Source organism: Homo sapiens, chromosome 6, assembly GCF_000001405.40.
Source record: "Homo sapiens chromosome 6, GRCh38.p14 Primary Assembly".
Taxonomy (NCBI): Eukaryota; Metazoa; Chordata; class Mammalia; order Primates; family Hominidae; genus Homo; species Homo sapiens.
The window spans coordinates 160604492-160618360 of NC_000006.12; the positions used below are offsets into that span (position 1 = coordinate 160604492).

Consider the following 13869-nt stretch of genomic DNA (forward strand, 5'->3'; position numbering starts at 1 on the left):
GACTCTCATCTGCCTTCCTGCCATTTTTATTCTCTAACAACCAGTATCCCTTCAGACCACTGGTGGTCAGAACCGACTGTGTTTCTACATATTGGAATAGACGTAGATATAGAAAGAGATAGATTTGCCTCTCCATAGATATACATATATACTTTCCTTGTAAGCCAAAACAGAAAACCCCAACAGAACCTTCACTTCAGGAATTGGAGTTTAGTTTAATAGAATTCCAAGGAGAAAAGGCTGCATTGAACCTTAGTGGGTGTTGTGGAAGGGTACTCTAAGAGTTTCATCATTTGTCATCTTGACTTGTTTCTTAATGTGATATCCTTGCCTCCAGATACCTTTCTGCTCCATTAAACTAGGAGGAAGGAGAGCCAGATTAACATTTGTCTTCTCTTAGACTCTTTGCTCAAAGACAATGTTCCTGAGACATTTTGCTATGCACTGTTCATCTGAGACAACTTGAGTCCTGAACACTCAGCTTGAAGCATGACTCTACTAACAGAAATTTCCACTGACCCTTCCTTCACTTATGGTAAAGAAAATAGACATACGCATTTGGGTAGTATGCTGGGGTCCGACTATGCGAGTGTGGTGTCATAGATGACCAAGCTTGGCAGGTTCTTCCTGTGACAGTAATGAAGTATGTGCCTTGATAACTCTGTCCATTTCCGTGGTAGCACTCCTGCACCCCAGGCCTTTGCTCAGTTGGTGCTGAAATGAAAAGAAAAGAAATCAAACTGAGTGTTTCCAAGAAGAGACAAACATGTGAAGCCACTTATGGCACAAACCAGAAAAAAGTCTCTGAGAATTATGACCTCAGGAGAATATGACAAGTAACATTCTTGTTTCTTTATTTGTAGGCAGATGGACTTGAGAAAAGCAACAACCAACCAACAAACAAAAACACCAAAGAAACAAATTCCTAACACTTTAGAACTGTAGTAAGTTCTTAGAAATATTTCACATAAAAGCTTAGAAAAAAAGGACAAATGAGAGGGCTTCTCAATGGAAACTGTGCTCACGTGCAAGCACATTTATGGGAATTTCTACTGAATGTTCATGAGGACTATGGGGCAGCAAACAGCAAAGCACGATGCATTTGGGGGTACAGGCCATACATGGTGATTGGGTGTTAGGGGCAGAGAAACGGACAGACATGAAAACAATGAACGTTTCATAACAAAAGGCAAGGTCTTCAGCTTCTGGGCCATGGGAGAGACAACAGTCCTTCGTCTAGGACTGCAGACAAAGACACTTCAGTTATCAGGGATGGGTGGAGGCGAACAGCTTACTCCCCTGCAGGAGAGATGAAATCCTCTCATGACCCACATCCTGAGTTGCAATAATACAGAAGTCTCCGACTCTTTCTATCCAGACCGCTCACAGGTACAACTGCCACCAGAACACGGGGCAGTCACTCACTTAAAAACCTAGGGCTGCAGAGCCCACCTATGACTGAGGAAGTCCTGAAACATAGATCATTGGGAGTTCATGTACTGCTCCATAGAACCAGGGTGATTTGGAATTAATGCAACCCTGTTAGCCCTGTTTCTCAAGGGTGACAGGCTCCAGAGCCACATTTCTCTGAATCTGCAATGCTGAAGATTGCACTGAATGCTGGCTAATTGAAGAAGTCCCAGGAAAAGCTTACTGGCTTGGAAAGAGTCACACATCTGACAGCATGTTACAATAAAAATTTTGGCTAAGACACTGAGATAGCCCATTTTTCAACGAGGTGAGTTGTGAAGTCGATCACCCTGGAGGGTTTGTGCCAATTCTAAAGACACAGCCCACCCAACGTTGTACCAGAAATCAATCCGCTGGCTCCCCCAGAGAGTGCACGGAGGCTTCCTCCTACATGACAGAACTCAGTCAACACTCGAGCATCCGTTTACCATTGGAGGCTGCTGCATCAGTGGGAATTTCCATGGCTTTTCATCCCAGCATCGAAACGTGTAGGTTTCTGGCCACAGGCTCCTTACCTTGTTCAGAAGGAGCCTCTAGGCTTGGAATCGGGGTAATAGTTGGAGGCGCGACGGCAGTCCCTTCTGCGTCTGAGCATTGTGTCAGGTTGCAGTACTCCCACCTGACACTGGGATCCCTCGTATAACAATAAGGGGCTGCCACAGGATCTGGATTCCTGCAGTAGTTCATGATCAAGCCACTGGAAATTCCAAAACGATACACGTCACAAGAGGTGGGACAATATGCAGGGGCACCCCACACCCTCTCCTTTGTGCTGCAACAAGGTCATTACCAGTGCCTTTCTAATATTCCCATAAAAGTACCATATGATTGCCACAAGCACAAATGGCTCTCAATCACTAATCCTGTCTGCACATTTCTCATACTTAAAAGATTATTATTATAAAAAAAAATCTAAAGTAGCAAACGCTTCTTAGAAACACTGAGATAATACATACACGTGGGCAAAAAACGATCAGAGTATTCTCCTTCTGCCTTCTGCCCAATCCATCTCTCTGGAATAACTGGTATGGATTTTGATGTGTGTATTGTGGAATCGTTTATTCACATACAAAAGTATCTGTATTTATCTAGTTCTCCGTATCTCTCTCGGTAGGACTTCATATTCTAATGTGCAAGTTGCAACTAACAGGTAGTTCTTCAGAAAAAACATGGGATCCAGGAGGATAACCTTTCCAGGTCAACCTTCACTCTCTATGTACTCAAAACCTCGCGAAAAGGCTCTACTTTTCCCATGGAAAAGCACTGTGCAAATTGTATTACTTTCTGTCATTCCCATATCATGTGGGTCAAATAGGTTTGTTTCTGCAAGACTTCTCAAAGCTGCCCTGGAAAACTTGCTCCCAGGCAGAATGCAGCATCTCTAGAATGGGTTCCTGGGCAGGACCTTCTCTCCTGCTCTCAGTCTACCCTCTGCTGGCCGCAGCTACTCTGCACTGAGGGAAAGGGGGATGAGTTGAAAGAACAGTGGGACCCATGGCATAAAGGAAGATGGCAGGGTAGACTAAGAGATCTGAAGAGGTCGGACAGCTACGGAGGAACACTGCATTAGGGGGCAAAGCAGGTAGGAGTTTGGGCTGCGGGGATCTTGAAGCATTTGCTCTTCCTTATGCCTCCCAAGAACGTTGCTCCAACCTCTCTCTATCCTCACATTCATGACCTGTGGCTGCCTGAGAAAATGGGAAATGTATTACGGGCCATGGGGATGAAACACTGTCTCTCTAGAGACTCTATACATGTGGCCTAGTGTCAATCCCAGACCCTCCATTCCAGGAAGCTGGTTCAATGAGCTACAGGATGTACTAAGAGCCCAAACTCGTGACAAATTTCTTTCTTCCTTGGCTTCTCTCTTTTGAATACATGGAATATTCTTATTATACAATATACCTCAGAGTTCAAAACTTTGTGATTGCTCTAGGATTTGCAATATCTCCTTGAACCCACACAGTAACATTTTATTAATATTACATACCATTGTGCATGAGGTAAGAAACTTACAATGGTACACTTCTAATTATTCCCTACATGATTTACGCTACTTGTTCAAATTCTTACCTCTACATATGCTAAAATTAAATATATTGCTATCATTTTGTTTCCAGTAGTCAACGCTCATTTAAAAATATATAGAAATTTGGTCAAGAAAATATTTTGCATTTACATCTACATTTGCCAATTGCTGGGTTCTTCATTACATGGGCTGCAGAAAGTTCCCTTCTTGTACTATTCTTCTTCTACCTAATTCCTTTGGGTCACCTCTCTTGTTACATCAGCCTGCTGATTCCAAATTCTTACAGTTTCCGGTTTCTTTGTTTGGGGCAGTGCACAACATACATTTATGCAGCATGGATGATCTTCAAGGCATTTTATTGCTGGATTTAGCATTCTTGGTTGATCTCTTCTTGTTCCTGTTTACCACATTAATAACATTCCCGGTATCTGGCTTCCAGTGTTTTTGACGAGAATGCATTAGCAATTTGTATCACTGTTCTTCTAGCAAGAAACAGCTTGTTTTTCCCCAGTTTCTCATAAGAAGTTTCTTGTTATTATATCTTTGTCTTCTTACCGTGAAAATGTGAAGTACAAAAGTGCATCATACCAGATTTTTTCTTTTTTTCGAAACGCCTATTTGATGCATTGAATTTCGTGTTTTTGCGATTTTGTTAATATTCTTGATCAATGAAAAGTTTTCGGCCATCCTTGATTCCGGTATTTGTTTCTGTTTCCAATCTCCCGTTCTCTTTTCTGTGACTTGCTTCCCATATGCAGGAAATCTTTTCCTATTTTGCAACATGTCTGTGAGGTTCGGTTGGTTTTCTATTTCACTATTTCTTGAGGGTTGTGTGTGTGTGTGTGTGTGTGTGAACTTGTGAGTTTTTGCGTGGGTGTGTATGGGTGTGTTGTATGTGTATATATGTGTGTAGTTGGTTCTGTAGAATTGATTTTTGGTTAGTTTCCTATTCAGAAATGTCTAAATTGATCAGGCAGCCATCCAGTAATTTTTTCTTTTAAGACATAGCTTTTTACACTAAGTCTTTAATTTGATTTGGCTAGTCAATACTGTTACTTTCTTTTGATATTTTATCTGTTTTATTACATATTCATCTTTTTTTAAATATTTGAAATAGTTATCTTAGTCATATGTCAAATTTTCATGCAATTCTTCTATTCTTCTTATACCTAATTCTTTCGGGTCACCTCTGTTGCTACATAAGCCTGCTGATTCCAAAGTCTTACACTTTCCAGTTTCTTTGTTTTGGGCAGTGCACAATATGCATTTATCCAACATGGATGATCTTCAAGGCATTTTATTGCTGGATTCAGCATTCTCGGTTGATCTCTTCTTGTTCCTCATTATCATTTTAATAATATTCCCTGGTATCTGGCTTCCAGTGTTTCTGAGGTGAACGCATTAGCAATTTGTATCACTGTACTCTAGGAAGACACAGCTCTTTTTTCTCCAGTTTCTCGTGAGATGTTTCTTCTTCTTATATCCTTGCCTTGTTACCTTTGAACTGTGATGTAGAGAAGTGCATCATGTAGTTTTTTTTCTCGAAATTTCCTATTTGATCCCTTTAGTTTCATGAATCTGTGATTTTTCTAACGTTCTTCATAATTGAAAAGTTATCAGCCATCCGTGATTCCGGTATTTGTATCTACTCCAAACTCCCTTGCTCTTTACTGTGACTTGCTTCCCACATGCAGGAAATCTTCTTATATTTTCCTGCATGTCTCTGAGGGTCGGTTAATTTTATATTTCCCTATTTCTTTAGGGATGTGCATGTGTGTGTGTGTTTGTGTGTGTGTTAGAACTTGTGAGTTTTTGCATGTGTGTGTGTATGGGTGTGTTTTGAATGTGTGTGTGTGTGGCTCATTCTGTAGGTTCTGCAGAATTGTTTTTGGTTAATTTTTTCTTCTGAAACATCTAAATTTTTCAGGCGGACATACAGTAATTTCTTCATTTAAGACATACTTTTTGTATAATAGTTCTTTAATTTGATTTGGCTATTCTATACTATTAATTTGTCTTGATATGATACCTGCTTTGTTGCACTTTTTTTAAATATCTGAAATCAGTTATCATACTGATATGTCAAATTTTCATGCAATTCTAATTATCGATGTCATTTCTGAGCCTGTTTGTATTGCCTGATTTATTTTCTGGTCATGGATCACACGAAATTCTTTTCTACACGTAGTCAAATTTTTAATTTAGGACTCACTCTGGGGATACCGCATAGCTGAGGCAATTGACTTTGTTGTTTACTTCTGAAGAGAGTTGAGATTTCCTCTCACAGGCACTTCATTGATTGGAAACCCATTTGATGCTTGGACACTTGCTTTTCAGCTGTGCAAGGGGTTGTCTGCAGCTGCCTTTATTCTAGTAATATACTAATTGTACTTTGAAATTATGGCTGTTCTGGGGTCTCCACTGAATTGGCAATGTGTTCCGTGAGCACTCTCTCATCTAGCTGGTAAGAACTCCAATAACACAGAGTGCTATGTGATCTCTATCTTCTTAATTGAGCTTGCTGTTCTCTTGTAGTTGCTGTTTCTCAGTAAATGTTCTTTGCCACACTTTCTGTAGAACCATTTTCTGTGCACATGCAGTGTCATGTGAGGCCAACTACTGGAGGAGACTTCTATGCGTATTTGTAGAGCTCCTTTCCTCCACAAACCAGTTCTTATTTGTAGCGGACCTAGAAAATACCAGAGTCATCCCAAACTCCAATCCCTCTCCTCTGCTCAGCTAGATGGCTACAGGCTGCTTGAGCTCCATCTCCTTGCTATTCAGTGCAGGAAGGGTATCCAGGAAGAAAGCCAAGGCATCTATGGAGTTGAGCTCATCATTGGCCCTCTCTCAATTCTCTAGGTCCTCTACCATCTGTTGTCCCACATGTAGAAACCATTTTTCCATGTCTTTGGTTGTTGATTATGGCCAAATGATTGGCCATGGGGTGGTCAGACCAGGGCTTCTATCCATCTACCCATCCCTTTTACTTTTCAGCATCCCTCTCTGTGCTGACTCTCATCTGCCTTCCTTCCTTGGATCTTCTCTTGCTGGGAACCTCTATCCTTTCAGGCCACTGGTACTTAGGACCAAGAGATTTTCTCCCTATTGGAATACAGGTAGAAATAGAAACAGATCAATTCACCTGTCCATAAGTAAGCACATAAACTTTCCTCATGAGCCCAGACAGAAAAGGCAAACACAATCTTCCCTTCAGGAATTGGAAGTCAGAATAACGGAATTCCAACTGGAAAGTCTTCATTGACGCTTAGTGGGTGTTGGGCAAGGGTAATCTAAGTGTTTGGTGGTTCGTCATTCTGACTTTCTTCATAAGGTGATCTCCTCGCCTCCTCATTTCCCTTCTGCTCCACAAAACTAGGAGGAAGGTGAGGCAGCTTAACATTTCTCTTCTCTCAGACCCTTAGCTCCAAGGAAATCATCCTGAGACATTTTGCTACACCATCTGAATCTGACACAAGTTGAGTTCGGAGAACTCAGCTTGAAGCATGTCTCTTGTCACAGAAACTTCAGTTGGCCCTTTATTCTCTTATGGTAAAGAACAAAGACATACGCATTTGGGTAGTATTCTGGGGTCCGACTATGCGAGTGTGGTGTCATAGATGACCAAGCTTGGCAGGTTCTTCCAGTGACAGTGGTGGAGTATGTGCCTCGATAACTCTGTCCATTACCGTGGTAGCACTCCTGCACCCCAGGCCTCTGCTCAGTCGGTGCTGAAATGAAAACACAAGAAATAAACTGAGTATCTCTGAGAATAACGAAATATGTGAAGCCATTTATGACACAACCAGAAAGGAGTCTATGAGAATTATGAACGTTATCTTTCCCTTACCTGTAGGCAGATGGATGGGAGAAAACCAACCAAAAAACATACAGCAAACCTACAGATTCCTACCAATCTAGAACTGTAGTAAGTTCTAGGAAATATTTCACCTGAAATCCTTAGAAAAACAGAACAGAACAGACTCCTTCTCACTGCAAAGTGCGCTCACGAAGTAGCACCTTTCTATGAAACTCTACTGAATGTTCATACAAAGGGCACTGCATTTGGCAATGCAGGATGCAGGTGGTAATTGGCTGTCGAGGGCAGAGGAGGGGAAAGACATGGAAATTTTGCATGTTTCCCTAGATCGTTGATCATGAAAGCCAAGGCCTCTGGCTTCCAGGCCATGGGGCAGAAAACGATCCTATATATCTGACTGAAGGCAAAGACACTTTGCTTCTCAAGGATGTGTGCACGCCAAAACCTTCTTCCCTTGGAGGAGGGAGGGAATCTTCTCATGCCCTGCATCCTGAATTGCAGTAAAGGAGAAGTCTACTAACCTTTCTCTCTAGACCCCTCACAGGTACAAGTGCCATCAGAAAGAGGTTTAAGAACACTGAGAAATCACTCCCTTCAAAGCCTAGGACTGAAGAGCCTTAGAGCATTGGGAGCTCATATACTGCTCCATAGACCCAGGACCATATGGAATTAATGCAGCCCTGTTAGGTTTCTCGAGGATGACAGGCTCCAGAGCCACATTTCTCAGAATCTGCAATGCTGAAGATTGCTCTGAATGCTGGCTACTTGAAGAAATCCCCGGAAAAGCTTACTGGCTTGGAAAGAGTGACACACCTGACAGCATGTTACAATAAAAATTTTGGCTGGGACACTGAGGTAGCCCGTTTTACAACAAGGTGAATTTTGAAGTCGATCCCCCTGGAGGGTTTGTGCCCATCCTAAAGACAAAGCCCAACCACGTTGCACCAGAAATCACTCCGCTGGCTCCCCCAGAGAGTGCACGGAGGCTTCCTCCTACATGGTAGAACTCAGGCAACACTCGAGCATCCGTTTACCATTGAAGGCGGCTGCATCAGTGGGAATTTCCATGGCTTTTCATCCCAGCATCGAAGCGTGTAGATGTCTGGCCACAGACTCCTTACCTTGTTCGGAAGGAGCCTCTAGGCTTGGAACCGGGGTAACAGTCGGAGGCGCGACGGCAGTCCCTTCTGCGTCTGAGCATTGCGTCAGGTTGCAGTACTCCCACCTGACACCGGGATCCCTCGTATAACAATAAGGAGCTGCCACAGCATCTGGATTCCTGCAGTAGTTCATGATCAAGCCACTGGAAATTCCAAAACGATACACGTCACAAGAGGTGGGACAACATGCAGGGGCACCCCACACTCTCTCCTTTGTGCTGCAACAAGGTCATTACCGGTGCCTTTCTAATATTCCCATTAAAAGTACCATATGATTGCCACCAGCAAAAATGGCTCTCGATCACTAATCGTCTCTGCACATCTCTCATACTTAATAGATTATTACTATTTTTTTTAAATAAAAAATCTAAAGTAGCAAACGCTTCTTAGAAACACTGAGATAACACACACACGTGGCCGAAAAACGATCAGAGTATTCTCCTTCTGCCTTCTGCCCAATCCATCTCTCTGGAATAACTGGTATGGGTTTTGACGTCTGTATTGTGGGATTGTGTATTCACATGCAAATGCATCTGTATCTGTCTAGTCTCCGTATCTCTCTCGGTAGGACTTCATATTCTAATGTGGGAGTTGCAACGAACATGTAGTTCTTCAGAAAACGCACGTCATCCAGGAGGATAGCCGTTCCAGGTCAACCCTCACACTCTATGTACTCAATACGTAGTGAAAAGGCTCTACCTTTCCCACAGAAAAGCATTGTGCAAATAGTATTACTGTCTGTCAGGTTTAGTAGGTTTGTTTCTCCAAGACTTCTCAAAGCTGCCCTGGAAAACTTGCTCCCAGGCAGGATGCAGTATCTCTAGAAGGGGTTCCTAGGCAGGTCCTTCTCTCCTGCTCTCAGTCTACCCTCTGCTGGCCGCAGCTACTCCGGGACTGAGGGAAAGGGGGATGAGTTGAAAGAACAGTGGGACCCATGGCATAAAGGAAGACGGCAGGGTGGACTAAGAGATCTGAAGAGGTCGGACAGCTACGGAGCAGCAGAGAAAAATGCATTAGGGGGCAAAGCAGGCGAGTAGTTTGGGCTGCGGGGATCTTGAAGCATTCGCTCTTCCTTATGCCTCCCAAGAACGTTGCTCCAACCTCCCAGTATCCTCACATTCATGACCTCTGGCTGCCTGAGAAAATGGGAAATGTATTATGGGCCATGGGGTTCCAACACTGTCTCTCTAGAGACTCTAGACTTGTGGCCTAGTCTCAACCCCAGACCCTCCATTCCAGGAAGCTGGTTCAATGAGCAACTGGATGTATAAGAGCCTGAGCTCTTGAAAGACTTCTAGTTCTTCCTTGGCTTCCCTCTTTTGAATGCATGGACTATTCTTATTATACCAAAAACCTCAGAGTTCAAACCTTTGTGATTGCTCTAGGATTTGCAATATCCCTTCGAACCCGCACAGTACCCTTTTATTAATATGACACACCATCGTGCATGAGGTAAAGAAACTTACAACGGTACACTTCGAATTAATCCCTTCGTGATTTATGCTACCATTTCAAATTCTTACCTCTACATATGCTGAAGTTAAATATCTTGCTATCATTTTGTTTCAAGTAGTCAACTCTCATTTACAAAGATATAGAAATTTGATCAAGAAAATATTTTGCATTTACATCTATCTACATTTGCCAATTGCTGGATTCTTCATTACGTGGGCTGCAGAAAGTTCCTTTCTTGTTCAATTCTTCTTCTACCTAATTCCTTCGGGTCACCTCTCTTGTTACATAAGCCTGCTGATTTCCAATTCTTACAGTTTCCGGTTTCTTTCTTTGGGGCAGTGCACAATATGCATTTATCCGACATGGATGACCTTCAAGGCATTTTATTGCTGGATTCAGCATTCCCGGTTGATCTCTTTTTGTTCCTGATTATCATTTTAACAATATTCCCTGGTATCTGGCTTCCAGTGTTTCTGAGGTGAACACATTGGCAATTTGTATCAGTGTACTTGTAGGAAGACACAGCTCTTTTTCCTCCAGTTTCTCGTGACAGGTTTCTTCTTATTACATCTTTGCCTTGTTACCTTCGAACTGTGATGTACAAAAGTACATCATACAGGTTGGGTTTTTTTTCCGAAATTCCCTATATGATCCCTTGAGTTTCACGATTCTGTGATTTTTTTTAATGTTCTTCGTAATTGAAAAGTTATCAGCCATCCTTGATTCTGGTATTTGTTTCTATTATAAACTCCCTTGCTCTTTACTGTGACTTGCTTCCCACATGCAGGAAATCTTTTCATATTTTCCTACATGTCTGTGAGGCTCGCTTAATTTTATATTTCACTGTTTCTTCAGGGGTGCGCGTGTCTGTGTGTGTTAGAACTTGTGAGTTTCTGCGTGTGTGTGAGTATGGGTGTGTTTTCAGTTTGTGTGTGTGTGTGTGTGTGTGTGTGTGTGTGTAGCTCATTCTGTAGGTTCTCTAAAATTGTGTGTTGGGTAATGTTTTCCTCTGAAACGTCTAATTTGATCAGCCGGCCATACAGTAATTTTTTTCAATTAAGACATACTTTTTTTATACTAGCTCTTTAATTTAATTTGGCTATTCTGTACTGTTAATTTCTCTTGATATGATATCTGCTTTCTTGCATGTTGTTTTTTTAAATATTTGAAATCAGTTATCATACTGATATGTCAAATTTTCACGCAATTCTAATCATTTCTCTCATTCCTGAGCCTGTTTGTATTACCCGATTTATTTCCTGGTCATGGGTCACACGAAACGCTTTTCTACATGTAGTCAGATTTTAAATTTAGGACTCACTCTGCGGATACCGCATAGCTGAGGCAATCGACTTTGTTGTTTACTTCTAAAGAGAGTTGAGATTTCCTCTCACAGGCACTTCATTGATTGGAAACCGATTTGATGCTTGGACACTTGCTTTCCAGCTGTGCAAGGGGTTGTCTGCAGCTGACTTTATTCTAGTAATATTCTAAGTGTACCTTTAAATTACGGCTGTTCTGGGGTCTCCACTGAATTGGCAATGTGCTCCGTGAGGACTCTCTGGTCTAGCTGGGAAGAACTCCAGTATCCCAGAGTGCTATGTGATCTCTCTCTTCTTTATTGAGCTTCCTGTGCTCTTGTACTTGCTGTTTCTCAGTAAATGTTCTTTGCCACACTTTCTCGTGGAACCATTTCCTGTGCACAGGCAGCGTCATGTCAGGCCAACGACTGGAGGAGACTTCTATGCGTATTTGTAGAGCTCTTTTCCTCCACACAAACCAGTTCTTATTTCTAGCAGACCTAGAAAAATTTCAGCTACCACAGTCATCCCAAACTCCAATCCCTCTCCTCCATTCAGCAAGATGGCTACAGTCTGCTTGGGCTCCATCTCCTTGCTATTCAGTGCAGGAAGGGTATCCAGGAAGAAAGCCAAGGCATCTGCGGAGTGGAGCCCATCATTGCCCCTCTCTCAATTCTCTAGGTCCTCTACCATCTGTTGTCCCACATGTAGAAACCATTTTTCCATGTCTCTGGTAGTCGCTTGTGGCCAAAATATTGGCCATTGGGTGGTCAGACCCGGGCTTCTCTCCATCCACCCATCCCTTTTACTTTTCAGCATCCCTCTCTGTGCTGACTCTCATCTGCCTTCCTTCCTTGGATCTTCTCTTGCTGGGAACCTGTATCCCTTCAGGCCACTGGTACTTAGGAACGAGTGTTTTTCTGACAATCGGAATATACGTAGATATAGAAACAGATCAATTCACCTGTCCATAAATAAGCACCTATTCTTTCCTCTTGAACCCAGAGAGAAAAGGCAAACGCAACCTTCCCTTCAGGAAGTGGAAGCCAGAATAACGGAATTCCAACTGGAAAGTCTCCATTGACGTTTAGTTGGTGTTGTGGAAGGGTAATCTAAGTGTCTGGTCCTTTGTCATTCTGACTTTCTTCATAATGTGATCTCCTCACCTCCAGATTTCCCTTCTGCTCAATAGAACTAGGAGGAAGGAGAGGGAGCTTAACATTTCCCTTCTCTCAGACCCTTAGCTCCAAGGCAATCATCCTGAGACATTTTGCTACGCCATCTGCATCTGTCACAAGTTGAGTTCGGAGAACTCAGCTTGAGACACATCTCTTGTAACAGAAACTTCACTTGGCCCTTTCTTCTCTTATGGTAAAGAACAAAGACATACGCATTTGGGTAGTATTCTGGGGTCCGACTATGCGAGTGTGGTGTCATAGATGACCAAGCTTGGCAGGTTCTTCCTGTGACAGTGGTGGAGTATGTGCCTCGATAACTCTGTCCATTACCATGGTAGCACTCCTGCACCCCAGGCCTTTGCTCAGTCGGTGCTGAAATGAAAACACGGGAAATCAAGCTGAGTATCTCTGAGCATAGAGAAACATGTGAAGCCATTTGTGACACAACCAGAAAGGAGTCTATGAGAATTACGACCGTTCTCTTTTCCTTATCCATAGGCAGATGGATGTGAGAAAACCGACCAACAAACAAACACCAAAGCAACAGATTCCTCCCATTCTAGAACTGTAGTAAGTTCTTGGAAATATTTCACCTGACACCTTAGAGAAACACAACAGATCAGATTCCTCATTGGAAAGTGAGCTCACGAGGTAGCACCTTTCTAGGAAACTCTACTGAATCTTCATGCAAACGGCACCGCATTTGGCAATGCGGGCTGCAGGTGGTAATTGGCTGTCGGGGGCAGAGTTTGGGACAGACATGGAAATTTTGCATGTTTCCCTAGACCGTTGATCATGAAAGCCAAGGCCTTTGGCTTCCGGGCCATGGGGCAGAAAACGGTCCTATGTATCTGACTGAAGACAAAGACACTTTGCTTCTCAGGGATGTGTGCACGCCAAAAGCTTCTTCCCTTGGAGGAGAGAGGGAATCCTCTCATGCCCTGCATCCTGAATTGTAGTAAAGTAGGAGTCTACTACTCTTTCTCTCTAGACCCCTCACAGGTACAAGTGTCATCAGAAAGAGGTTTAAGAATACTGAGAAATCACTCCCTTCAAAGCCTAGGGCTGAAGAGCCTTAGAGCACTGGGAGCTCATGTACTGCTCCATAGACCCAGGGCCACATGGAATCAATGCAGCCCTCTTAGGTTTCTCGAGGGTGACAGGCTCCAGAGCCACATTTCTCAGAATCTGCAATGCTGAAGATTGCTCTGAATGCTGGCTACTTGAAGAAATCCCCGGAAAAGCTTACTGGCTTGGAAAGAGTGACACACCTGACAGCATGTTACAATAAAAATTTTGGCTGGGACACTGAGGTAGCCCGTTTTACAACAAGGTGAATTTTGAAGTCGATCCCCCTGGAGGGTTTGTGCCCATCCTAAAGACAAAGCCCAACCACGTTGCACCAGAAATCACTCCGCTGGCTCCCCCAGAGAGTGCACGGAGGCTTCCTCCTACA

General features: G+C 43.0%; 1 protein-coding gene across 1 annotated transcript in view, besides 1 other annotated feature; it reads right to left on the bottom strand.

Moving 5' to 3' along the window:
• LPA (lipoprotein(a)) overlaps window positions 1-13869 on the bottom strand; it is a 132794-nt gene that overhangs the window by 73010 nt on the left and 45915 nt on the right. The window contains exons 14-18 of the mRNA NM_005577.4: window positions 12626-12785; window positions 8441-8622; window positions 7071-7230; window positions 1986-2167; window positions 555-714 (exon numbers count right to left, since the gene is read on the bottom strand). Coding sequence (NP_005568.2) covers window positions 555-714; window positions 1986-2167; window positions 7071-7230; window positions 8441-8622; window positions 12626-12785 — 844 coding nt within the window. The remainder of the gene's footprint in view (window positions 1-554; window positions 715-1985; window positions 2168-7070; window positions 7231-8440; window positions 8623-12625; window positions 12786-13869) is intronic.
• Window positions 469-1668: an enhancer, noted in NCBI's record as "CDK7 strongly-dependent group 2 enhancer chr6:161025992-161027191 (GRCh37/hg19 assembly coordinates)". NCBI's record gives its function as "activates an origin of replication core promoter dependent on BRD2, BRD4, P300/CBP, MED14 and CDK7 cofactors, with strong dependence on CDK7, by STARR-seq in HCT116 cells {active_cell/tissue: HCT116}" and the evidence as "EXISTENCE:reporter gene assay evidence [ECO:0000049][PMID:35650434]".